This window comes from Homo sapiens, chromosome 5 (assembly GCF_000001405.40).
Source record: "Homo sapiens chromosome 5, GRCh38.p14 Primary Assembly".
In the NCBI taxonomy this organism is placed as follows: Eukaryota; Metazoa; Chordata; class Mammalia; order Primates; family Hominidae; genus Homo; species Homo sapiens.
This window is the reverse complement of record NC_000005.10, coordinates 1118110-1144134: the sequence shown is the minus strand read 5'-3', so window position 1 is coordinate 1144134 and position 26025 is coordinate 1118110. Positions and strand designations below refer to the sequence as shown.

Genomic DNA, 26025 nt, shown 5'->3' with positions numbered 1-26025 from the left:
GGGTGGTGGGTGCGTCCAGGTCCCCTCTCTGAGGTTGGCGGGTGTGCCCCTCCCTGCAGGGCTGTTCGCCCCCTCCCTATTTCTTGGTTCTGGGCTGCAGTCTTAGAACACACTGGTGACAGCCGCCCGAGCCAGCCAGGGGTAGGAGGGCAGGGTGCCCAAGAGGCCAGGTTTCCCAGCGCCAGGGTGCCCAGGAGGCCAGGTTTCCCAGCGCCAGGGTGCCCAGGAGGCCAGGTTTCCCAGCGCCAGGGTGCCCAGGAGGCCAGGGTGCCAAGCGCCAGGGTGCCCAGGAGGCCAGGGTGCCCAGCACTCTGCCCGAGAGTGTCTGCTGGCCCCGGTGCAGCCACGGGTTTGCTGGTTGGTACTGAGGAAGGTGCAGGGCTTGCAGAGGGGACTGGGCAGGTCACATGTCTGAAGCTCAGCAGTGGGTGGCAGCGCTCTGGGTGAAGAAGCAGCACCAGGACACAGGGAGAACCCTGGGAAGGTCAGTGGAGGCGCATGCAGGACACAGACAGCTGCCGACTGAGTCGTGCCCCCAGATTCGCAGCTGAGGCCCAGCCCCAACGGGACTGTATCTGGAGCTAGGACCTTGAGGGAGGGACTTAAGGTTAAATGAGGTTGTGAGGAAGGCCCTGACCCAATAGGACGTGTCCTTGTAAGAAGAGAAAGCGACACCAGGGATGCGTGTGTGCAGAGGAGCGGCCGTGGGAGGACACAGGAGAAGCCACCGTCTGCGGGCCATGAATAGGCCTTGGGAGAAACCGCCCAGCAGCCCCTTGGTCTGGGACTTCCAGCCCCCAGGCTGCGAGGGAACAATTTCTAGTGTTGAAGCCCCCGCCCATGGCGCTTTGTTACAATTGCTGGAGCTGATGAGGCCGGTCTTACACTTGCCCCTTATCCGACAGGACTGGCACCAGCGCTGCGGGAGGTGGCGGGATGTCGGGAAGCTCCGGTCTTGGGAAATGCCACCTTCCGCAGGTGATCCTTGAGCTGCGGCTTCTGACCCTGCGGATGGAGGGGCATGTTGCCCAGGAGGCTGTGTTGGGGCCCTCAGGGAAGGAAGGCCCGTGTCACAGATGGAGCCGTAAGCTCTGTGGTGCCCGGCACGGGAACAAGCCTTCTTTGGCCGCCTCTCAGCCCCCGTTACCATGAATACCGGGGCCCGGGGCCTGGGGCCCAGGGCCCAGTGCCCTCCCAGGATGGAGAATGGGCCAGGAAAGTCCATTTCCTCTTCTGCTGACCTACTCCCCCTTACCTCCCCTGAGTTCTGAGCACGTTGCCCAAAGAACAGGGGCTCTGAGTGAGTTTGGGATTGGAGGGGAGGGGTGTGTATGGGGGGGGCAGCTGATGGTCACGGGTATTCTAGGGGGAAGATGTGGGGAGGGCCGTGAGCACCTCCTGCCTGGAGTTCTGGGCAGTGGCTCAGGAAGAGGGGAGGGGGACAGAGAGAGACACAGAGACAGAGACAGAGAGACAGGGAGACAGAGACAGCCAGACAGAGACAGCGAGAGACAGAGACACAGAGACAGAAAAACAGACAGAGACAGATGGACAGAGACAGAAAGAGAGACAGAGAGAGAGACACACACAGAGAAGCAGAGAACAGGGAAGAGAGGGGAGAGGGGAGAGAGGGGAGTGGGGAGGGGAAAGGGGAGGGGGAGGGGAGGGGGGAGTGGAGGGCAGAGAGGGGAGGGGACAGCGAAGATGAGAGAGTGAGGAGGGGAGAGGGGAAAGGGGAGAAGGGAGAGGGGAGACAGGAGAGGGTGGAGGGGAGAGGGGAGAGGGAAGAGGGGAGAGGGGAGAGGAGAGAGGGGAGAGGGGAGACGGGAGGGGCGAGGGGGGAGGGGAGAGGGGAGAGAGGGGACAGGAGACGGGGGAGGTTTTCTTCCTCCTGATTATGGGGGCACCAGGGCTTATAGGGCTGGGCTGCCCCTGCCCTGTGGAGCGTCTGGGCTCTGTATGGAGGGGCCCTGTCTGGGGCCCAGAGATGCTGCCAGGGGTGGCCGGGTGAACTGACTGCGGCCCAGTGCAGCTCTGGGGAGGGGAGTGGCCACCCTGACGCCACCTGCCCCGCCTCTAGCACCAGAAGCAAAGGTGGAGGCCAGGAAGCCCCGGGAAGTCCTGCAGGGCTGCAGGGAAGAGGGGTATCTCTAAGCAACAGCCACAGTTGGTGGCTGGGAGCACTTCAGACTCCACATGACCAGGTCTGATCCTGCCAGCAGCACCCATGATAATGGTGACTTGGGCAAAATGAAAGTTCACTTCTCCCTCACTAAGCATTTTGTTCTGAATTTGTTCATCTGTTGATCTGTCCCGGCGAACCCTCTTGTCTCTGCCTGAGTGTCCAGTGGCCTCTCTGCACCAACGGAGTTATTCCTTGTCCACGCTGTCCTATGCAGCAGCCACCGGCCACATGTGGCTATCGGCACTTGAGCTGTAGCTGCTGTGGCTGAGGACCTGGATTCTTCATTTTTTAAAAAAAATTTTAACTTAAATATAAACTTCAGTGACCACACAAGCTTAGTGGCTGCTGTCCCAGTGAGGTCTGGGTGCTGAGGACACAGTGGGGAAGACAGTCCCCAGGGAGCCTCCATCCCAGGAGATACAGAAAACAAGCCAGGGGAGAGCACAGAGAGGGAGGCAGGGACAGCTGTGGTGCCCGTGGCGGCTCTGGTGCCCATGGCGGCTGTGGTGCCCGTGGCAGCAGGGACGGCTGGGACAGCCAAGTTACAGGCTCAGTGACATCTCTCCATTAGGACTGGGAGAGGACTGGGGGTCCTACTGCCTAGCACTTGAGAATGTGATGGTATTGGGAGGGAGCTGTTTGCAGAGGTCATCAAGTGACAGCTCACAGGGGTGCATCCTAATTCAATATAACGGGTGTCCTTATTAAAAGGGGGAATTTGGACACAGAAATAGACACTCACAGAGCAGGGACGATACAGAGACACAGGGAGAAGCTGGGGCCTGCAAGCCAAGAAGAGGCCGGAACCGGTGCCCGCCTACAGCTCAGGGGAGCAGCCCAGCCACACACTGACCTGGGACTTCAGGCCCGAGGCTTCGAGACGTGTCTGTGGTGTGCACAGCCTGGCTGCACTCATTTCCACAGCGGCCCGAGCGTATTGGTATAAACGTCCCGTGTCCACCCTCCCCCTCAGCCTGGCTGCTCTGAACTGGCCCAGGCCCAGCTTGCCCACCTTGGCTGCAGCCCCCAACGGCTCTGCCTCATGCTGAGCCTCCCAAGGGGTTCCCCTCAGAACATTCTCCCATGGCGTGGTCACCTAGAAGCTACTCCGAGCTGTCATGCCGGTGCAGTGACCACATCCCTCCCCAGCCAGTGCTTGTCAATGGCCCTCCTGGGTGAATCTCCCTTCCCTGCACCCCCTCCGCCAGCCACCTGAGCCCTCCCCGGGGCCCTGGGCTCCGCCCTTGCGCCTCTCGTTGCCTGGTGAGCAGAGCTTTCTTGTCCCACTGGAGTAGAGAGCGTGGAGCCAGCGGTGCGAGTTCCTGAGCACGGGGAACTCCGGGATTGCTGGGCATGCTGGCACCGTCCTGAACCCCATCTCCCTGTTTACAGAATGACGCCTCCCTCCAGGGACAGCTGTGGGGAGGGGAAGCCAGCAGGGAGCACCCCCCCTCACCAGCAGGGGGCACCCACTCACCAGCAGGGAGCACCGCCTCGCTGGAGCTGCACCTGTTTCCTCCTCCCCTGCTTACCAGTGTCTTCCAGACCCGGTGGGGGGGAACAGAACCGAGGGAGATGGAGACGCAGGTGTGGCTGTGTGTGCAGATTGGCGGTCAGGATTCACCCGAGGGGCCATGGGGATCACATGCCTCATCGCCTGGGATGTGCTGGCTGGGGCAGGGCCACCTTTCTCAGGAGGGGGATCTGCCTGGGTTCCCATGGGGCCCTGCTCCCTGCATGCAGGTGGGCCGGGGCTGCAGCGGCTGGTACGAGACAGCCAGCCAGCGATGGGAAACAGCGTTTCTGGGGGGCCTTCTGAGGGCAGGACGGCGCCTCTGGGGTGCTGGTTGAGGCCAAGGCGGTGGTGCCTGGTCACCGACCTCGGAGCGTTTGATGCCCTGAGACCTGGGATGCTCTGGGAGACAGAGGTGCAGGCCGGGCGTGTCCTGACACCTTCCAGCATGTCCCGGCCTGGTCCGCATCTGTGACCACAGAGGTCTTCTTGGCACTTCTTGGGATCAGAGCCCTGAGGCCCATGCATCCGGAAACGCCGTTTGGAGATGTGGAAAGTCCCTTTTGACTCACAAAATCTGCCTTTGTCTCAGCAAGTGTCCCAGAACCGTGGGGACGTAGTGGCCCTAGACTGGGAAGTGGGGCTCGGGAACCAGATTCAGAATTACTCACCTTCCCCAAAGACACGGGGCCTGCCGGGAGGAGGGACGTGGGTCACAAAAGTGGGCCGTGGCCACCCCAGGGTCAAGCAAGCTCGCCGTGTGCACTCGGGGAAGGCAGGCTGTGCGGACGCCTACAGAGGAACATGGGGGCCACTCTGCCTCCTGTTTCCCGGCACCCACACCCGCTAGGGCCACTGCCCAAACAGTTCTCGAGGCAACCTCGGTTCCAGGTTCCGGCATGTGGCACCATTGCTGCTGTGTGGACACCACCCCTCAGAGAAGGCCAAGCCGGCAAGGCCCAGGCAGTGTCAACCGCCCCAGCTCCCAGAACCGCATCTGTCAGGCTGAGCCGCCTCTTGGTTTGGGGCCCAGGGCCCTCGTGAGGATGTAGCTGAGCACCAGCTGCATTTGCCTGGAGTGGTTCCTGCCTTCCAGGGGCTGCTCCCCACCAGGGCTGGGCTTGGGTGCAGGCACTGGGGCCGCACGTCCTGGGGAGATGCTGTTACCAGCGAGGGTCCCCCGCCAGGATCCCAGCCGGCTGCCGTGGAGGCCAAGGGCTCACACTTTCCCCCTTCCTCTTGCCTACGGACCATGAGGACTCAGCAGCCACCTGGTGGGCTACGCCCATGGGGATGAGGAGGGAGCCCAGCTGTGGGGACCATCGGAGGCTCCCAAAGTGCACCTGCTGCCGCCCAGAGCCCCCCCCCCACCCCAAGCTTGGGTGAGGGGCGACCCCTGCAGCTGTTTCAAAGTCAAGACTTCAGCTTGCTCTCCTTTCAGAGGCCTGGGTGGTGGGTGCAGGTCCAAGGCTTCTGGCCAGTGCCCTGGAGTCGAGTATCCCCGGCTCACCTCAGGGCACATGTTAGGACCCAGCATGTGTTAAGGACCTGGTAGAAAGCTGTGTGTTGCAGTTGAACAGACACCCTGGGGCTCCCACTGTGCACACAGGGCTGTGTCGGGCAGTGGGGCTTAGCTTCCTGGGCCTCTCTCTGGAGCCCAAGTCCTTCTAAGTTTGGACCTTGATCCTGTTTTGGTTTCAAGGTTTGTAGTAAACTAAACGGTGGCCTCCAAAGAGCTACATCTATGTCCTGATTCCTGGAACCCGAGAATATGACCTTATTTGGAAAAGAATCTTTGCATGTGGGGTAAAGATCTCCAGCTGAAGTCGCCCCAGTTTATGTGAGCGGGCTCTAAGCCCACTGGCAAATCAGAAACAGACGAGGAGAGAGGCACACAGAGGAGGAGGCCCTATGAGGTTGAGAGGTGAAGCCCGCTGGGCCTCTGGGTAGGGTGGGGACTTGTAGAACTTTTCTGTCTAGCTAAAGGATTGTAAACACACCAATGAGCAGCTCTGTGTGTAGCTAAAGGTTTGTAAATGCACCAATCAGCACTCTGTAAAAATGGAGCAATCAGCACTCTGTAAAATGAACCAATCAGTGTTCTGTAAAATGGACCAATCAGCAGGATGTGGGTGGGGTCAAATAAGGGAATAAAAGCCGCCCTGCCCTGCCCCACCCCGCCGGCAGTGGGTGGTGCCCTGGGGTTCATTTCAATGATGTGGAAGGTTTGTGTTTTTTTCCGCTTTTCCCCTTTTGCAATAAATCTTGCTGCTGCTCACTCTTTGGGTCCGTGCCACGTTTAAGAGCTGTAACACTGCAAAGATCTGGGACTTCATTCTTGAAGTCAGCATAAACCAAGAACCCACTGGAAGGAACCAACTCTGGACACAGCGTGACCACTTCTGAGAAGAGGAGGGGCGGGTGCCGGCGGCTATCCCTGCTCCAGGGTCACTCAGGAACCAGGAGCCCAGGAACCAGCCCGGCAAGAGAGACTGCTCCTTCTGCCACAGCTCACTGGACCCCCTTAGGGTGTCTTCCACAGCGCTGGCGCCGACATCCATGATTCTCCTCACAGTGCGCCAGGCCCCGGGGAGCTGGTGCCGGGGGAGGGGCAGATCCAGGCGCTTGTGCTGTCTTCTCCGCCAGCCAGACCAAGGGTTCTGATGACGCACCTGGGCGAGCAGGGAGGGCCTGACCTGCAGAGGCCATGTCCAGGAAGAGGAGCCCCGGCCCCGAATCGCCCAGATGTGTGGCCCAAGGACAGCCGTGCGAAGTCCTGGGGCGGGCCCTGTTTGCCAAGTCCAGGATGAGGCCATGGACATGAGTGGGGACCACCCGGAGGGGAACGGGGTCATTCAGTGCCTGCTCGGGGGGTCTGGACGTCCAGGCAGGTTGAGGAGGAGGGGGAAGGTGTGGACAACGGGAAGGGAAGGTGTAGCTGGAGCTGAAGGTGGTCTTCTAGCAGTGGGGACCCCCTGGGGCTGGGTGCGGTGTATTTGACGTCCCTGGCAGGTGCTGAGCTGTAAGGAAACAAGGTGGGGAGGCAGGCAGTCAGGGATGGAGTCCTGGCTCTCTGGGCCAAGGTTCTTTGTCATTCGTGGTCTGATCCTTGTCCTTCGGAGTCCTTGGTTTCTCGGGGCACAGATGGAGGGGGCTACGCAGGAAGTGGCTCCGGATCGTGCCTGGCCTCGAGTGCTCTGGGAAGAGGGCACAGGTGGCCCCGCCTGTGATGGGGGCATGAATCCTTGGAGTAGGGGCAGGGTGAGCTTGAGGGGGTGAAAACCCGGGACTGCAGCGGCCTCACTGTGGCTGGGTGTGGCTCTGTGCAGCCAGCTCTGGGCTGGGAAACACTGGCTGTAGACACACGTGTGTCTGCATGTGTGTCCTGGTGTTGGAGTGTGTGAGCACGTGTGTGTGTCCTGCTGTTGGTGTGTGTGCACATGTGTGTCCTGGTGGTGTGTGAGTACATGTGTGTGTGTCCTGGTGGTATGTGTGCACGTCTGTGTGTCCTGGTGTTGGTGTCTGAGCACATGTGTGCCTGCGTGTCCTGCTGTTTGAGCATATGTGTGCCTGCGTGTCCTGCTGTTTGAGCATATGTGTGCCTGCGTGTCCTGGTGTTGGTGTCTGAGCACGTGTGTGCCTGCGTGTCCTGGTGTTGGTGTCTGAGCACACGTGTGCCTGCGTGTCCTGGTGTTGGTGTCTGAGCACACGTGTGCCTGCGTGTCCTGGTGTTGGTGTCTGAGCACGTGTGTGCCTGCGTGTCCTGGTGTTGGTGTCTGAGCACATGTGTGCCTGCGTGTCCTGGTGTTGGTGTCTGAGCACACGTGTGTCTGCGTGTCCTGGTGGTGTCTGAGCATATGTGTGCCTGCGTGTCCTGGTGTTGGTGTCTGAGCACACGTGTGCCTGCGTGTACTGGTGTTGGTGTCTGACCACGTGTGTGCCTGCGTGTCCTGGTGTTGGTGTCTGAGCACACGTGTGCCTGCGTGTCCTGGTGTTGGTGTCTGAGCACACGTGTGCCTGCGTGTCCTGGTGTTGGTGTCTGAGCACACGTGTGTCTGCGTGTCCTGGTGTTGGTGTCTGAGCACGTGTGTGCCTGCGTGTCCTGGTGTTGGGGTGTGTGCACATGTCTGTGTGTCAGTCGTGTCTCATGTCTTGGTGGGTGTCAGGAGGAGTCGTGATTTCTCGGAGCTGGGTTGGAGGGACAGTGGAGTGTTTCCCTCTATTGCACGGATGGTTCCTTGGGAGGACAAAGCCGCACAGCAGTGCCTGCAGGAGCAGAGACGGCCACGATTCTCCCTCCTCCTGTGGCCTCTCCGCAGTCTCCTCTTCCATGGCCTCTGAACCTTCTCATCAGCAGCTGTTTGCTTAAACATGGGAATCTCAGCATGAATCAAGGGGCAATGTGCATCCGTGTCCTCTGGACCCGAGCCAGGCCTGGAGATGGTGTGCTGCTTACCCCTGCACCCCGCAGGGCCGACGAGGCCACCATTTCTGTGGGAAACTTACAGGATGAGCAGGGAGGTTGAGGGAAACGGGGAGTGCGTTTTGGATGTGGGGATGGTGCAGTCCAAGCTGGCACTGTTTGTCAAACTCTTGAAGATATTTTTGGAAAACCCACCAGCTGTGAAACTGCACTCCTCTGCAAGAGACCTGGTGTGTTCCTGCCCTTACCAGGGCGAGGGACTTAAGCTGAGCCTTCAGTAAACCCTGAATGGGATGTTTGTCTTTCCAGGAATATCGTCACACTGTCACCACTCATGCACGCACCTGAAGCTGCGTGTGGCATCACTTTGCACATGTTCACACTTACAGAAATGGCACTAGGGGTAAGCACCGCCCTAGACTTGTTTTGGAGCTGTCTTTGTACCCCTGTGGCGACTTCAACCCTGGGACCAGCATCATGTATCTCCATGGCCACCCTGGATCCCGGGGCAGCAGGGCTGGGGACGAGGGCCGCAGGTGACATCACCCACAGTTGACTGCACCTGGGCTGGAGCGAGAATGGCTAGTGTTGAGGCATTTGTCCAAGGCCCTGGAAACGGGCCTAGTGTTGAGGCATTTGTCCAAGGCCCTGGAAAACGGAGCATGGTGGTTGTGTGTGGTTGACTTCCTGGGTCCTGGGAACTCCCTCTGCCTGTTTAGTCAAAATCTCACAGGCTCAGCTGCAAATGCACCTTTCAATTTCCTTACTAGGAAGGTTCTGGCTGGCCCCACAGTCTTTCCAGATGTTTCTCCTTTCATTTTCCATCTACTCATCCCCATCTTACAGATGAGCAAACCGAGGCTCAGGAAGGTGAATGTCTTTTGTTTGAGATGGAGTCTTGCCCTGTCGCCCAGGCTGGGGTGCAGTGGTGAGATCTCGGCTCACTGCAGCCTCTGCCTCCCGGGTTCAAGCGATTCTCCTGCCTCAGCCTCCCGAGTAGCTGGGATTACAGGCCCCCGCCACCATACCCAGGTAATTTTTGTATTTTTGGTAGAGACGGGGTTTCACCATGTTGGCCAGGCTGGTCTCGAACTCCTGGTAATCTGCCCATCTCAGCCTCCCAAAGTGCTGGGGTTACAGGGATGAGCCACCGCGCCTGGCCGTGCCCTTCTTTTTTAAGGTGGAACAACATCCCGCTGTGTGGACCGACTTGTTTTGTTCATGGCTTTATCTGCTCACCACCTCTCGGGCTGATTCTGCCACCTGGCTGTTGTGGGTAGTGCTGCTCTAATCACGGGTGTGCAAATATCTGTTCGAGTCCCTGCTTTCAGTTCTTTATAGCACGTGCAGAAGTGAAATTGCTGGGTCAGAGGGTCATTCTATTAACTTTTTCAGGAACTGCCGTTCTGTTTCCGTATGGACTGTACCAATTTACACTCCCACCGGTAGAAGACAAGGGCCCCGTATTTTCACATTCTTACAGCATTCATTTTCTCCTGTTTTGATAGTAGCCGTCTTCATGGGTGTTCAAATTTTTTTTTTTTAAACAGAATTTTGCTCTTATTGCCCAGGCTGAAGTGAAATGGCATGATCTCAGCTCACTATAACCTCTGCCTCCCGGGTTCAAGTGATTCTCCTGCCTCAGCCTCTCCAGTAGCTGGGATTATAGATGTGTGCCACCACACCCGGCTGATTTTTGTATTTTTAGTAGAGACGGGGTTTCATCATGTTGGCCAGGCTGGTCTCGAACTCCTGACCTCAGGTGATCCGCCCACCTTGGCCTCCAAAAGTGCTGGGATTACAGGCATGAGCCACCGCGCCCAGCCAAGTTTTTTAACTCACTAGAAACACGTAGCTGTCCCAGAATTGCAGAGCTGGAGCTGGGAGAGCCACCCAGTTCTCTCACAACATGAGAATCAGCCGGGAGGCTTTTAAAGGGGAGGCTGGGCTTGTACTAGGCTCTGGCTGTCTGGGGTGGGTCTGTGGTGGGCCAGGGAGACTAGCTGGGCTGAGCAGGCTTGTGGGCACAATCAAGCTCCCTCTCTCCATGGTGTACGTGCTGGAAAGTTCAGGGAGGAAGGCCATGCAGCGGTTAGAACAAGAGCCCACCCCCACCTCCAGCTGCAGCTCCACACAACCCTCTCTGGTGTTGCTGCCTCGGTTGGTCAGGGAAATAACTTGGCTCCCCTGGGATTACTGGGAAAGCTATTTACAGGGTCTGAGAACCCCAGGGGGTTCCTGAGCTGCCCCCAACCTCAGCCTCTGAGATTCAGCAGCAGATGTTCATACCCCGAAACTCCACACATAGAGGAAGTTCTCACCGAGGGGCGCACGTCCAGCCTCCCGTCTCTGACAGTGCTTTGGGATGACACCCAGCAAGCATGCCGGCCAGCAAGCGTCAGCGTCAGCAGCAGCCACAGCGGCCTACCAGTATTTGGGATTGTTCTCTCCACCCACAGTCAACCCCAGACAGCACTGTGTGGGGTCCCCCTCGCATCTCTTGCCTTAAGTCCTGTCGACGGAAAGAACAGGCACCTCATGGCTCTGCCCCCACCTCACCCAGCCCTCTCCCCCAGGACCAGCAGGGCAGGGTTTCCAGGGAGCTGTGTGCATTTGAAAATCCTCCACTCCTGGAGGAGGTGGGGCTGACGGGATTCAAGCTGGGGTCTGAAGATCCTGAGGAGGTCGGGGGGTTGGGGGGAGCTCTTGCCCACATGTGCGACTCCCAGCCATTAGCCCAGCGCAGGGCGCCTGGTTAAATTTGTTTCAAACTAACACAAATAATTCTTAGTAGAAGCAGCTGGGTGCGGTGGCTCATGTCTGTAATCTCAGCACTTTGGGAAGCCAAGCCTGGCAGATCACTTGAAGTTGGGAGTTCGAGACCAGCCTGGCCAACATGGTGAAACTCCGTCTACCAAAAATACAAAAATTAGCTGTGTGTGGTGACGCACGCCTGTAATCCCAGCTACTTGGGAGGTTGAGGCAGGAGAATCACTTGAACCCAGGAGGCAGAGGTTGCAGTGAGCCAAGATCCAAGATCACGCCCCTGCACCCCAGCCTAGATGACAGAGCGAGACTGTCTCAAAAATAAATTCTTAGTAGAAGCAATATTTGGGTCACACTACATCAAAATAAAATTCATCATTTATCTGAAATTTGTGCTGGGCCGAGTGCCCGTGTCTTATCCGGCAGCCCTACCAGGTCCTTTGGCCATGGACACTGCAGTGCAGTTCTTGGGAGGCGGTGCTGGCCCCAAGGCTCCAGAGGGAAGCAAGCTGGGCACACGCCTCTTAGGAGGGGCCGGAGCACGCCAAGGAGATGTTCTGGGGACATTAGGATGATCTCAGGAAGCTGAGGGGGAAAGCTGGCCCTGGAATGGTCCAGAAGGCAGGCAAGGGTTCTTCATGAGTCAGGGCCCCCTGGAAGGGAAGGGACAGAAAACAGCCCGGGTGTTAGTTCAAAAAAGAAAAGAAAAAAGAACTGTTACCAGAAAGGGGCCCCAATCCAGACGACCCCCAAGAGAAGGTTCTTGGACCTCACACAAGAAAGAATTGGAGGTGAGTCCATAGAGTATAAAGTGAAAGTAAGTTTATTAAGAAAGTGAAGGGATGAAGAATGGCTCCCCGACCAAGGACACTTACTGTTACTTCTTCATTATGCGCTGAACAAGGGGTGGATTTTTCATGAATTTTCCAGGAAAGGGGTGCAAAATTCCCAGAACTGTGGGCTCCTCCCCTTTTTAGGCCATAGAGGGTAGCTTCCCGACGTTGCCGTGGCCTCTGTAAACTGCCACCGTGCTGGTAGGAGTGTCTCTTAGATGCTAATGCATTCGAATTAGCGTGTAATGAGCAGTGAGGACAACCAGAGGTCACTTTCATGCCGCCTTGGTTTTGGTGGGTACTGGGTATTGGATGGCTTCCTGACCACAACTTGTTTTATTAATAAGGTTTTAACGACCTGCCTCTTGCGCGGTCGTCCCGTCTCACCTTGTGACTGAGAATCCCTAAGCTCCTGGGAATGCAGCGCAGCAGGCCTCAGCCTCATCAGACCCAGCCCCTGTTCAAGATGGAGTCACTCTGGTTCAAACGCCCCTGACAGAACCAGGGGCAGTGAGCTTTGCCGTGTACACAGCCAGGGCGCTGGGCCCCACCTGGGAAGCTGCTCCTGGCAGGCATTGCCCTACCTCCCAGGAGGATCACCTTGCTTACTGAGCCCTTCCACAGCACAGGCCACAAAAGGAGCCCCTTTCCCGTGTCCTGGACGAGGATCTGGGAACCCACCCCAGACAAGCCATGGCTAGGCAAGGCTCTGGGGATTGGCCTGACTCAGGGTCTCAGTCCCAGCAGCCGTTCCAGGGTGGATTCTGGGGGCCCCAAGGGAGGCAGCCCTAGCGCCTGGTTAGGGACCCGGAGAGGTCAGGTGAGGCCCCCAACACCAGGCAGGAGAGGTGGTCCTGGCAGGTTGCCCGGAGCATGCCCTCTGGGAGGTCCTCAGGGCTTGTGTTGACCACCAGGGCCGGTGCCTGCTTCCGACAGCGTGGCGGCCGTGCAGGACTGTGCCTCAGGTGCTAGGATTGTGTAGAATCCTGAGTTTCTGGAACCATCTGCCTGTTGCACCAATACCGGCTCCCTCCCCCACACCCTTCAGCAGCTGCTGAGGCTGAGGTGCCAAAAGGAGGGGCCCAGGAATGCCCCTGTCTGCAAGTGGTGCCAGGCCCCAGCCTCTGGGTGACTCTTGGCAAGGAGCAGGACGGCCGGGAGGGACGGTGTCCCTGCACATCCCCATGGGCCCCTGCAAGTCCCCGTGAGTCCGAGCGTGTCCCCACGTGTCCCCGTGAGTCCCCTAGCGATCCGGGACGTCCCTGTGAGTCCCTGTGTGTCCCTGCGAATACAGGCGCTGAGCTCTGAGTCTCTGTTTTGCTTTGATTAGGCCTCCATCTCCTAGTCCAGGCCTTGCTACCCTCCCCCAGGCCTCACCCTGGAAACACCACCCCCTCCCTGTTCTGTGTCCTGGGACCCCATCTCCTAGGTGGGCCCCCAGCAGCCCTCAGACCACCCTCCGACGTGAGGTTCTGTCAGGGAACCCTGTGCTACTCCAATGTTGTCCCCAGGGCTTACTCCCTGAGCTGCCTCCCGGCTCAGACTGGCCCAGCCGCTCCCCTTGGCCGGAAGGAGACTGCATGGGCTGTGCTGAGCTCAGCCTCCTCCTCTTTCCGCTTCTGCCACCCTCCCACCACCCGCCCACCTGCGTCTGTGCTGGGTTTCCCTGGCAGGAGCTCTGTGCACCTGTCCAGGTGTGTCTGCTGGAAGCTCCCGCTGCTCCCTCTGGGCAGGCACAGGTGCACCTGCAGGCCCAGGGAAGAATGCAGCACGCCCTCCCTCCCTGCTGCCCCCACCCTGGCTAAGGAGGTGAGGGGACCTGCGCGGGCAGCCGCCCTGGCTAAGGAGGTGAGGGGACCTGCGCGGGCAGCCGCCCTGGCTAAGGAGGTGAGGGGACACGCGTGTGCAGCCGTGGGCAGGGCTGTGGGAGGCCCCAGGTGGCCTCTCCTGGGGTGGGGTGGGGGCGGGGCTTTCATTCAGCCTCTCTTCCTCCCACAGCTCAAGCTCTGGGAAGGCCAGGTCTTTGCTCCTCTGCCCAGACGCAGATGCAGGTGCACCCTGGGTCCTCCTGTCCTCGCTGGGTGTTGAGCGGAGACAGGAGGTGCCTGCCCAGGTCCCTTGTCCTGAGAGTGCCTCCTCCCAGCCAGCCTCGCCCGGTGGGGTCCTGCAGGTTACGACTGAAGCGAGTGGTGCGGCTTCTGGAAGATTCTGGAGGGTCCTGGGCTGCCCGGGAGGCTGCTTGATGGGGGTGGTGGAAAAGGGGCCCCCACAGCTAATACTCCTGTAAACCAAACGGGTGCAATTCTGGGTGATTTTCCGCAGATTTTTCTGAACCACATCCAGAAGTAAAGTCGTGGAGGAGATATCAAAACTTCTTGGGTATCTAAACTTCCTCTTTCAGGGGAAGAAGCAGAGGTAGCTTTGACTGCCCCAGCTGGCCAGGGCGTCCCTTGAGCTCTGACCCCTGACCCTCTGGCTCCTCACCTGGGAGTCAGGTGATGGCTTCACGCCCAGGACACAATGGGCTGTGCAGTTTCCAGCTCTGACGGCAGCAGGGCGTTCTTTTCCTCTTGAATCACCAGGTTTCGGGTCAGCAGTGTCGAGAGCCCGGCTCCAAGGTGCTTCTGAACGGTAATCTCAGCCGGGATCTTTTCTTCCTGTTTAATCATATCCAGAAATTACATCCCATCAGGGTGACCCCTGTGACTTTTTCCGTGAAACAGTGGGTGCCCCAGGTGTTCCCGTGTTCATCCGCGTGAGGGCTTTGGAAACCTTGCCAGGGATGCCTGAGCAAGTGTGTCTCTCGGGGGTTGGCCGATGCCCCAGCTGGGCTCCTGGAGCCGCCCTCCACCCTGTCGCCTGGGACGCTGTGGTTTCCCTGGTCCTGGTCCTGGTCCTGGGCGTCACAGGAAAGCTGAGGGGGCCAGGAGGGGAGGGCGCCTGGTTCTGTCCCTTACGCTAGGGGAAGCCCGGAACTTTCTCTGGCCCTTGTGGGCCTGGGATGCTCGGGACACTCCTGGTGGCCCATGGCCACCTCCTTGCCTTGGGTGGCTGCTAAGGCTCTGTGAGACTGGACTTCGGAGGTGGGGGTGTTACCTGAACGTCCTGCCCACCTCCGACTTTCACTTGGAGCCAGGAGGCGTTGTACCCTGCAACAGCTCAGCCCTTGGGGATGCACAGAGGGGCCGGCAGCAGTGGCGGCTGGCTGAGGGAGGCCTCTTGGAGGGGTGTCCTCGTGTGTCTAGGAGAGACGTGGCTGTCCCCCTGGCCTGGCAGGCCCTAGGCAGCAGCTGTGACCGAGGTTTGAGGAGAGGGACTTCTAGAGGCCATCAGACTTGGGATCCCAGGGGTGCTCCCAAGCCTTGCAGGGGATCCCAGGAGTGCTCCCAAGCCTTGCAGGGGCAGCGGGGTATGCTTGGCCATCAGGGAAAGCTGAAAGCAGAGCTGGCAGGTGTGTTGGACGCACATGGGGATGGAGCACGTGGCAGGGAGCCGCGTGACTGAGGGTCCAGCTTGTGTGGGTGGATGGTGGGAGTGGGTCTGGTTTCTGCATGTGTGTGCACATATGTGTGTATGCAAACATGTGATCCATTCTAGGAAAAGGCTGGAAGCCGTGTAGAGACCAGGCAGGCACTTGGGGCCACTCCCATTGGTGTGCACGCATGCACACACACACGCACACATACATGCACACACGTGCACACATGCTCCGCTGCAGCCTGTCAGGACTGGTGGTCACAGGGCAGACCCAATACCCATGGGCCACCTGGTCTGTACCAGTCTCACTAGCCACCGCACCTGCTGAGCCTGTTGTTTATCAAATATTTACTGAGCCCCAGAGGTCTCAGAGTGTTGGGGGCTGGGCAGCACTTTTCCTCCCTATGAGAAGATGAATTCTAGAACCTTCCATCAACCACATGAGGAAGGAAACCCCTGTTGGGGGCTCCATCTGTACCCAGGCATGCTCCAGGGTCACTGGGTCCGCGTGAGATGTCCCATCCTGCCTCCATGCATTGCTGGTGGCTTTTGTTTGTCTGAGTCTGGCTTCATTTCCTGGAGCGAGGCCACCAGTTTCCACTGGGCCTGACTGCTCCGTGAGAGCTCGTCCTGGGATTTGGCTCTTGTGCTGCAGATCAGCGGGAGTTTACCTGGCAACTTGGATCCAGCAACCCTGGTCCCACAGGAGCTGGAGCGGACTTCCCGCCAGGTTGAGACCACAGGTGCAGGGGAAGGGGCGAGAGTGTTCCTCAGGCACCCACCTCCCAGCCACGCCCACTCCCAGCCTGCCTTAAGGATGAGATCTGTTTCCTCAGTGAACTTGCCCCAGTGCATGGCGTGAGAAGCTAAATGACACACATCCTACATTCACTGCTTCTGGAATAACCAGAGATCACGCGCCTGTCACCACCCCCAGATGAAAACCAGGACGTCGCAGCCCTGGAGAATCTGAGCCACTCTTGGGACACTTTCCTGGGGTGTGGGCATCTCCTCGTGCTTTATCTTCCCTTCCTTGATGACAAGTGCTAATTTGATAACAGGAGATGTGCAAAATTACTTCTTTTTTAAAATTCTCTGAAAGACTTCAATGTAACTGGTATTATTTCTTCCTTCAGTGTTTGGAAAAGTTTACCAGTGAGTCTGTGTGGCCCTGAAGGTTTTATGTGCAGGAGGGGGGCAAAGTTAAATCAAGGATTTAATTTCTTCATGAGACATAGTACTATTCAGAGCTTCTGTTTCTTTTTGTATGGATTTTGGAGAATGTGTCTATTTTATCTCCATTTACAAGATCGTTATCACAGAGTTATCTGTGGTATTTGTATATCCATCAGTTTCCTCGGACTGCTGTGATCACCACACACTGTGGCTTCACAGATCTGCCTTCTCAGTGGTGGAGAAAGGAAATCTGAAGTCCAGGTGTGGGCAGGGCTGCACGCCCTCCGGAGGCTCTAAAAGAGGCTCCTTCCTGCCCCTTCCAACTTCTGCGGCTCCAGGCATCCCTGGGTCTGTGGCCCCATCGCCTCAGCCTCTGCCTCCATCTCTGTGGCCCTTGCCTTTTGCCTCTCCTCTGTGGCCTCAAAGCTGTCCATATAAGGACATCAGTCGGCCAGGCGTGGTGGCTCACGCCTGTAATCCCAGCACTTTGGGAGGCCAAGGCAGGTGGATCACGAAGTCAAGAGATCGAGACTATCCTGGTCAACACAGTGAAACCCCGTCTCTACTAAAAATACAAAAATTAGCTGGGCGTGGTGGCGTGTGCCTGTAGTCCCAGCTACTTGGGAGGCTGAGGCAGGAGAATCACTTGAACCTGGGCGGTGGAGGTTGCAGTGAGCCGAGATTGCGCCACTGCACTTCAGCCTGGCAACAAAGCAAGACTTCGTCTAAAAAAAAAAAGACATCAGTCATTGGATTGAGAGCCCACACCCTACTCCAGGATGACCTCATCTTCATGATGTGGTCCCAACTGCAAGGAGCCACCTCCCAGTCAGGACATTCACAGGTACCTGTGTTAGAACTTCAACATATCCTTCTGGGGAAGCCCAGCTCAACCCACTCCACTACCTTTATACTTTTGCAGGATCTACAGTGGTGACTCGTCCCTTAAGCACGGTTTCAGCTGCATCTTATGGTTTCGATAGGTTGTATTTTCATTATAATTTAGTTCGACAGAAAACTAAATACAGCATGTTCTCACTTATAAGTGGGAGCTAAACGATGAGAACGCATGGACACATAGAGGGAAACAACACAGCCTGGGGCCCACTTGAGGGCAGAGAGTGGGAGGAGGGGAAGGATCAGGAAAGATAACTAATGGGTACTAGGTTTAATACCTGAGTAATGAAATAATCTGTACAACAAACCCCATGACACAAATTTACTTGTGTAATAAACGTGAATATGTACCTCTGAAACTTAAAACACAAAACAAAAACCAAAAACAAATCAGAAGAAAAAAACTAAACAATTTAAAATGTTTTAAAAAGTGAGTAACATCTCAATTATATTAAACATTAAAAAGAATAGGTAGGGGCTGGGTGCAGTGGCTCACGCCTGTAATCCCAGCACTTTGGGAGGCCGAGGCGATCAGATTACCTGAGGCCAGGAGTTCAAGACCAGCCTGGCCAACATGGTGAAACCCTGTCTCTACTAAAAATATAGAAAATTAGCCGGGCATGGTGGCCCATGCCTGTAATCCCAGCTGTCAGCTACTTGGGAGGCTGAGACACGAGAATCACTTGAACCTGGGAGGTGGAGGCTGCAGTGAGCTGAGATCATACCACTGCATCCAGCCTGGAGTGGGACTCTGTCTCAAAAAATAATAAAATAAAATAAAAAGAATAGATGAATTCATGGGTTAATATTGTGTAAATATACTATGTGTATATTGCTAAGAATTAGCTTAATAACATGAGTGACTTTTTGGAAACATTAACAATTAAATTAATGAAGATATAACAATGCAAGCAGACAGACTTTTTTTTTTTTTTTTTTTTGAGGCAGGGCCTGGCACTGTTGTCAGGCTAGAGTGCAGTGATGTGATCTCAGCTCCCTGCAACTTCCGCCTCCCAGGTTCAAGTGATTCTCCTGTCTCAGTCTCCTGAGTAGCTGGGATTACAGGCACATGCCACCATGCCTGGCTAATTTGTGTATATTTAGTAGAGATGGGGTTTCACCATGTGGGCCAGGCTGATCTCAAACTCCTGGCCTCAGGTGATCTGCTCGCCTCGGCCTCCCAAAATGCTGGGATTACAGGCATGAGCCACTGTGCCCGGCCCAGGTAGACATTTTAACCATGTTTGATATATTTCAAATTTTACCATTTATACAAAGTAATTGGGATCCAATTAGTCAAAGTTATAAATAAATTAGAATAGTCTCCCACCCTAGATAAACTTTCCAAAACCACTGTTTTGGAGTTTGGAGAGCAGTGACATTTTCCGCAGTACAATTTCTAACATGTTGACACGCCTGCAGATTCAATGAAAATACTAAAATACCATTATTATGCACTATTCAGCATAAAAATACTAAAATAAACTTAAAAAGTGTGCCGTTTGACTTTACTTGCTTTTACCCATGAAGTGATGTTTCTGTATGAAAGTCTTAGAATTAAAAAGAATTCACACACACACACACACACACACACACTTTCGTTTAAAACATTATCTCATTCCGATCACGGCTCACTCTTCAGCACGTGGGTTTCTCCATGTGCTGCAGTTCCCAGGCCCCGGGGGATTTTCCATTATCTTTCCACAGCTGCTCTGTGCTCCATTCCCAGCTGTCAGAGCTCCTCTCTCAACCCTGTGGTGTGGAGTAGGGGCCGGGCAGTGGCTGGGTGCATTTCCACATAGCTGACCATTAATTAGGTCAGTCTTGCTTATGGGTTGTTCAAATCTTCTTTCTCTCCAGTGATTTGTTTTACCAGTTATGGGGCGAGGTGTCTTGAAATCTCTAGCTGTTCCCTGGAGTAGTGTCTGTTTCTCCTCCAGTTCTCTGGATTTTGCTGAAGCGGGGCGTCATCAGGGTGTGAGATTTGAGGTCTGGCCGGCCGCCTCGCTCCGGTTAGTGCAAGCACTGGTGTCTTTTCTTTTGATTATTTTGGATTAAACACTTTTTTTATTACTCCGTTTTCTCCCTGTGTTCGCTTGCTAGCTGTGTGTTCTGCTGTTCTCACGGTCGTCGCCCCAGTGTCTGCCCTGCACAGATGCCCTTGATGGTCCAGGTCTGCTGCGATCAGGGACTCCAGGGCCTCCCTCCCCTGTGCTGGGCGCTGAGTGTTCAATGTGTCCAGCGCCGCAAGGCTCTGCCGCCTGCCCCGCCAGTCCGTGTTCTCTGAGCTCTGGATTTCGGTGTTTCCATCAGGAACCATTTTCCTTCCACTTGGGATAAATCCTCACAGTTTTCGTTGGTCTGGAAATGTCTTGATTTTGCCTTCATTTTTGAAGACAGTGTTTGCTGGCGCAGAGGTCGAGGCTGCAGCTGTTTCTCTGTACTTTGGAAGCACCCTCCCATGGTCTTCTGTCCTCTGTGTTTTCTTTGACCACTGCACGCAGCTACTTCCTCATGACCAGGCGCTGGAGCTGCAAATCTTTTTGGTTTTTGTTTTTTAAATGTGCATTCCTTTTCTCCTCGAAAACAGTGAGGGATTAGGTGGTCTTTGAAAGACTTTTCTCTTGGCTTGTGGGCGCTGATCTCTATGCTGAAGATCTCTGGCCTGTGAAGTGGGTCCCTGAGGACGAATCTAGCTGTTGCTAGTTGTTGGAGCAGATTGACCTGCTGTCAGCTGTGGGTTTTGCATTGCGAGGTCCATGGAGGTTGCTGTCCTTCAAAAGCAATCAAAGCTTATTTTTTAAATGTATTTTTAACTTATCACCCTGAGAAAATAGAAATTGATGACTTGTGGTATTTGCACAGATAAGTCATTCTCCACTGAGAGCGATGAATTTAGTAGCGTATTGGCCTGACCTCGTGATGCAAGCCAAATATTTAAGGTTTCAATGAGGCAATTAGACCAAGAGAGTTATCTCAGAAACTGTTACTCAAACATGTTTCCTCTTCTCTCTTCTCTTAATGAAACAAACGAAGAAAGTCAAGAAAGAGAGGTGGATTTGGGTTCAGTTTGCCAAGCAAAATTTGAAGCTTAAACCTTCAGGATATGCCCTACCAGTTTGCAACACTGTTTGATGGAGGCCCCGATCCCGGCTCCTTGGCCAACACACGTGACGTGTGTCCTCCAAGACCAGGACACTCAGAGAAGCTGACCGCGGCCCCCGGCCCCTCAGCGGGGAACGCCCACTTCTGTGCGGCGGTCTCTGGCCGGCCTCATTGCCTTGCTGAGCTGCTACCCCTCAGTGGGCCGGCGGGGCCAGGCTGGGCAGCTTTATTCATTTATCTGGGGGTCTTTGGCAGGGAGGAGGCTAGACAGCTTAACTCATTTATCTGGGGGTTCTTTTGCCAGGAACCCTAGATGTGAGCTCTAGTGCGCCTCCAGGAGTTGGTGGTGTTACCTGGCAGGGCTGTGCTTGCAGGTGCTGGGACCCAAGGGTTCAAGGGCCCAGGAGTGGCCCCCTCCCCTCCTCGGAGCCGGGGTCCCTGCGACCACTCCTGCTCTGCACGCCCAGCATGCCTCTCTATGCGGCTCCCAGAACCCACTTCCCCAGAGGGAATGTGGACCCAGGGCAAGCCACTGCCTCCCTGGGGCCCCACAGAGTGACCTTGGGCACAGGCCACCCGAGACCTTATCTGAGCCAAGTGTAAAAATAGGACAGAAATCACTGCCGGGAGCCCGAGCGTGCCCTGCTTATCTTGGGCAGTGGCAGTGGCAGCGGCTCAGCCAGAACGATTAGGAGGTATTTTTGGCCAGATGATGCTGGCGTAGCCACCCCAGGTAACAGGACAGAGGAGCGTAGGCAGAAGGTCAGGCCCCGCGCCCCCAGGCAGCCAGGGCGACGCCCCCAGCTCCTCCCAGAGGGCTTGTGCGTGCGCACGTGGGGCGCTTCACACATTTTACACATTTTCATTTTTACTTAGATACATACCTTTGAAGTTGTTACCCATCACTACATAGGGGGAATAGCAACCCTCGTGTCCATCAGCACATGAGTGGGTGAACAAAACGTGCCCGTCCAGACAGTGGACACTCGACAGCCGAGAAAATGAAAGAGATGCTGGCACGGGCTACAGCACCAAGGAGCTGTGTGGACGTCATGCCGCGGGGCCCTGTCTGATCCTCTCCTGGGAGGTCCCTGGAGTTCCCAGATCTGTAGAGACCGAACGCAGAATGGCAGGTGCCAGGCTGGGGAGAGGCCTTCAGTTTGGGAGGACTCTGGAGACCGGTGGTGAAGGTGGACGCACAGCTGTGGGAATGCGGTTCGTCCGTCGGACACTTAAAGATGGTGAAAATGGCAATTTTATGTATTATTTTACTACAATTAAATAAAATGGATTTTTTTAGAAAAAGGAAAAAGCAAAGTTAAAACTAACAAACATTTTTACCAGTTATCTGAGCTGGTGTTGAGAACCCAGGCCCCTTGAGGTGCCAAGCGCAGTGGCGGGGGCTGTGCTGGGCAGCCAGAATTTTCATCCCCCCACTGCCCGGATTCTGGTGAGATTCTGACACCCCCAAAATCCCACCCCGCCTCGCACAGCCCTGCCGGGGGTTCTGGTTTCTCAAGGGTTGGGGTGACACGTTTCTAGGGAGGCCCATGCGCAAGGGCAGGCGGTGGGGGCAGGGAAAGTTCCCAAGGACAGTGTCCCCCCACACCATCCCTGTCTTCCCTGCTGTTCCCTTGAGAGCTGGAGGGTCTGGCTCTCTGGAATGGGGGCTGCGTTGCCGTGGGCCCGGGGCACAAGGCAGAGAGGCTGGGAGACAGGGCCTCCACAAGGGTCTGGGAGTAGGCAGAGCCCCGCCTCAGGGAACCCATCCCCGCTTCGTGCCTGCAGCGCAGTGTGTGCCTGGCATGAAGCAGGCCTAGGGTGGGCGCTGAGCTGATGAAGGGGCCCCCTCTCATGCCCCCCACACTTGCACAACCCCATCAGGGACAGTGGCCTCCAAGGCCTGCAGGAAGACAGGACAGCCCCTCCTGAGTCTGGGGCACAGTTACCCCTTCCTAGGAGAAACTGCGCGGCTCCGGGGCTGACCCATGGGTGCTTCCAGGGTTCACCCCTCAGTGCTGGGCATGGCTGGGGCGGGCAGGGGATTCCCATCTGGGAAGGGTCCTTCCAGTCATCCATGGGACAAGGAATGTCCTAAGGCTTCTGGAACTCCCCCTTGTCCCTGCCTGCCACTCACTGGCTGTAAGCCCTTGAGGTCACACTGCCTCTCTGGGTCCCACAAAGTGGCATGGATCCTTCCTGTGCCCACCAATGCCGCTGCCTTCTCTTTCCACGATTACTTGAGGCCATATGCTTAAAGGACCTCTCAGCAGCATTCCACCGGAGAGGAATGTGAGGGTGACGATCCTGCTTGGGACTCGGCTGCAGGGGGATCCGCACACGGGCGCTGATGTCGGCCCTGCCCCCCAGCAAGTCCATGAGCTTTCCCGTGGGCCTCAGGGGCACAGCCCTCCACAGGCCAAACCCCTGCCAGGTGGCACCACTGCTGTCTGGGGACCGACACAGGGAACTCCACGTGTAAAGTCCAGGCCTTGGGACGGAGACAGCTGTGTCTGGGGACCACACTGGCCAGACACTTGGTGATAAATATTTGCTGGCCTGGACTCTTCTTCACAGAGAATGTGACAGAAACAGCCCAGCTGTCCCACTGCCTGCAAGATGAGGGATGCGGGGACGTGCAGGAGGCAGCTTGGGGAACGGTGGCGGGCAGCAGGAGGGTTGGGTGGACTCAGTGTCAAGGTCAGGATGCACCGAGTCTACCGTGCAGCACATGCTCTGAGCCACTCTTATTTCCTCTGAGTGAGGTGCAGCTGGCACCCAGGGAGCAGCACACATCTTAAATCTTTGCCGGGTGAGCTCCGAGCTCGGGCAGGCCCAGGAGCCCTTCGCGTCGAAGCGTGGCCGTTCCAAGCCCTGGAAGCCGTCTCTGCTGCACAGGGACTGCCGTCTGTGCTGGTGTGCACCCCAGGGTGAGTCCTGCCTGCCCTTGAGCTTCACGTAGACAGCATCATGCCGACCTCCTCCTGCCCTGCAGCCCACGTGCGAGATCATCCCTGGCGTGTGTGGTAGACACTCCCTGAAGGGACACGCCATCTGTGGCCCGTCGCCCACTGCCCTGCTGATGGGAATGTGGGCTGTGTCCAGTCTGGGCTCCCAGGAAGGCCTTTGTGTGTCTTTTGCTTAGTGTCTGTGTGTTTCTGTTGAGAGTGGGGTTTCTGGGTGGTGATGGAGGCGTGTCTGGAGTTTTCCACAGTGGCCGTGCATTCCACGGACCTCCAGTTGTGTGGGGAGGTACAGCGGCTGTGAGCATCTGGCCAGCACACCGTGGTGTCCCCGGCACACTGCCGACGGCGCGCGTCCCCCGGCGAGGTGGCATCTCCACGTGCTCCTCCATGTTAGTTCAAGTCTTTGCCCTCTTGTCCTCCGGGTTCAGCGTTTCCTTGCTGGTCTGTAAGCCGTCTTCGTGTGATCCGGACACTGCCGGTGGGGGGGCCCTGTGGACGGCAGGTGCCCACCCAGCTGCACCCGGGCTTGCTCCCCTGCCCTTGAGAGCGTCTTCTGAGAAAGAGAAGTGTGTCATTTTAGTGAAGACCACTTTGTCAGCCTTTCTCTTATGAAGAGCATGTTTGGGGCTGTGGCAGGGTCTGCAGCCATGATTCTGAGTGTCAATCTGTGCTCTCTGGCTTTGGGGCCGTGGAGGGTCCCCTCAGCCCCAGGGGGATCCACTGCACTCTGGGGGTGAAATTCAGGGGACCTGGTCAGGCCCTGCCAGCTGGGCAGAAAGGCCCTTGAGTGACCCCAATGACAGGCTGTTGACCTATGGGGGGGTCCCAGCTGCCTGGGCCATGGTGACACCTGTGCGCCTTCAGCCAGCTCAGACTGGATTTTTGCGGGGAGGCAGAAGCAGCCACAGGGGGCAGGTGGCCTGAGGGGAGGCCTGAGGCTACAGGGCCCAAAGCTGGGCACCGCCCCCCAGCCTGCCCATCACAGGACAGCGCCGGTGGACCCCATTTGTCCATTGCCTGGAAGGAATCGGGCGTGTTCTGGTCTGCACCCTGACATGCAGCCCTCCAGAGCCACCGCGTGCCTGGGATGGGGCTGTGTGGGTGGGGAGCCTGGCACGGGGTGGCTGAAAGGGTGCTGGGGAGAGGAAGGTGGCTCAAAGTCCGTTGTTCCCGTGCTTCCTGAAACGGTCGCTGCCCGACGGTCAGGGCTGAACCTCACCGCCCAACCAGGACCACAGCACCATGGGCGGCGAGCCGGCCGCACACAGCTGGAGGGGGTCATGGTGCAGCCAAGGCAGCACCAGAGCTTTCCAAAGGGCTTGTGTAACCTCGGCGTCACCCGGGCAGGGATGTGTGCGTGCCTGCGGCGTCCCCTGGGAGCTGGGGCCCTAGCGGGTGTCTGGGTACTGCTGTGCGGGGTGGGATCACGGGGTCCTCACCTTTAACGAGTGCTGGCCCTGATGAGCAAGTCCAGAAAACTCACCCCAAAAGGGCTCTGGGAAAAAGTGGCGGTAACTGAGGCCGGGCTTTGCAGTCCAGGTTCCCAGCTGAATGTTTAGAAAACGCAGGGGAGGTTGTGCAGGTGCTTCTCTGATCCCAGCAGAAAGCTGTAAAATGCAAAGCTGATGGCAGAACTCAGCCTTCCAGCGCTGCAAAAGCGACTCTGGCCCCTGCCTGTGTCGGCTCTCATCAGGAGGGCTTCGAGCTGCTGCAGACTGAGGGTGAGCACACCAGATGCGGGGCCACAAAACGAGGCAGGGCCCTCCTTTCGGGAGCAGTCGTCTGTGCCCCTCCCTCTCCCCCAGAACATTCCTCTGGGGAGGTCTGGCTCTGGGTGCTCAGTGTGGGTTGTGAGCCCCTCCCGCCGGGAGGCTGATGTCAGCGCCAGCTCTGCCTCTCCCGCCAGCCGGCCCAGAAGTTCAGCGAGACACGCCCACACCTCCCACAGCCTTGGAAGAAGCCACCAGAAACAACCTTGGTACCTGCAAGGCTGCGGGGCCAGCACATTTGATGTTATGAGCACAGCTGTTTACTGTTGTCTGGGTCCCCCACACTGTCTGATTTTTAATGGGTTCCATTAGAAATGGGTGAGACCAGGCTCTCTGAGGCCTACGTCAGGTCCAGGCTTTCTCCTTCCTCCTGGACTCATTCGAATTTCCTGGCAAGAGGCATCCCCCGGTCTAGAAAGGGGAAACTTCCCAAGACCTTTCACGCCCAAGGACGGCTTTGGCGGCCTTCGCATTTGGCCAACAGCTCATCTGTGTCTGGCGAGGGCGCGAGTCTGGGTCACACCTGTTTTTGGAGAATCCCTGGCGCTGCTGCCAGGAAGACTCTTCTGCCGGGTCTGGATGGCTGCCAGGCCTGCCCACGATGTTCTCAGATTGCACTGAAACGTTTCCCAGTGTGGGATCTTCTTATCTCTCTGTTCAAGGGGCTGAGGCCCATGGACTCCCCCTCATGTAACCGCCCAATGGGTTCACCTTGCCTGCTGCCCAGACAGAGCTGATGGATCAAGACAGGGGAATTACAGGGGAGAAAGAATGACTCACGCAGAGCTGGCTGTGCAGGAGACCGGAGTTTTACTGTCACTCAAATCAGGGGAATCGCAATAGGGAAAGAGGGATTCACGCAGAGCTGGCTGTGTGGGAGACCGGAGTTTTATTATTACTGAAATCAGTCTCCCC

The 26025-nt window shown here is 56.9% G+C and overlaps 1 protein-coding gene and 1 long non-coding RNA gene across 2 annotated transcripts in view, besides 6 other annotated features; both read left to right on the top strand.

The window, feature by feature from the left end:
- SLC12A7 (solute carrier family 12 member 7) overlaps window positions 1-26025 on the top strand; it is a 105516-nt gene that overhangs the window by 11765 nt on the left and 67726 nt on the right. The gene's annotated exons all lie outside the window — the stretch shown is intronic.
- Window positions 2798-3641: an enhancer, noted in NCBI's record as "H3K27ac-H3K4me1 hESC enhancer chr5:1140609-1141452 (GRCh37/hg19 assembly coordinates)". NCBI's record gives its function as "activates a minimal SCP1, AML or CMV promoter by ChIP-STARR-seq in naive H9 embryonic stem cells {active_cell/tissue: H9 hESC(naive)}" and the evidence as "EXISTENCE:reporter gene assay evidence [ECO:0000049][PMID:30033119]".
- Window positions 6433-6965: an enhancer, noted in NCBI's record as "H3K4me1 hESC enhancer chr5:1137285-1137817 (GRCh37/hg19 assembly coordinates)". NCBI's record gives its function as "activates a minimal SCP1, AML or CMV promoter by ChIP-STARR-seq in primed H9 embryonic stem cells {active_cell/tissue: H9 hESC(primed)}" and the evidence as "EXISTENCE:reporter gene assay evidence [ECO:0000049][PMID:30033119]".
- LOC107986396 (uncharacterized) lies at window positions 11699-14091 on the top strand. Its single transcript, XR_001742547.2, has 2 exons — window positions 11699-13607; window positions 13719-14091. It is a non-coding gene; the product is annotated as an uncharacterized LOC107986396 (long non-coding RNA).
- Window positions 12138-12671: an enhancer, noted in NCBI's record as "H3K4me1 hESC enhancer chr5:1131579-1132112 (GRCh37/hg19 assembly coordinates)". NCBI's record gives its function as "activates a minimal SCP1, AML or CMV promoter by ChIP-STARR-seq in primed H9 embryonic stem cells {active_cell/tissue: H9 hESC(primed)}" and the evidence as "EXISTENCE:reporter gene assay evidence [ECO:0000049][PMID:30033119]".
- Window positions 14274-14807: an enhancer, noted in NCBI's record as "H3K4me1 hESC enhancer chr5:1129443-1129976 (GRCh37/hg19 assembly coordinates)". NCBI's record gives its function as "activates a minimal SCP1, AML or CMV promoter by ChIP-STARR-seq in naive H9 embryonic stem cells {active_cell/tissue: H9 hESC(naive)}" and the evidence as "EXISTENCE:reporter gene assay evidence [ECO:0000049][PMID:30033119]".
- Window positions 15342-15875: an enhancer, noted in NCBI's record as "H3K4me1 hESC enhancer chr5:1128375-1128908 (GRCh37/hg19 assembly coordinates)". NCBI's record gives its function as "activates a minimal SCP1, AML or CMV promoter by ChIP-STARR-seq in primed H9 embryonic stem cells {active_cell/tissue: H9 hESC(primed)}" and the evidence as "EXISTENCE:reporter gene assay evidence [ECO:0000049][PMID:30033119]".
- Window positions 24582-25115: an enhancer, noted in NCBI's record as "H3K27ac-H3K4me1 hESC enhancer chr5:1119135-1119668 (GRCh37/hg19 assembly coordinates)". NCBI's record gives its function as "activates a minimal SCP1, AML or CMV promoter by ChIP-STARR-seq in naive H9 embryonic stem cells {active_cell/tissue: H9 hESC(naive)}" and the evidence as "EXISTENCE:reporter gene assay evidence [ECO:0000049][PMID:30033119]".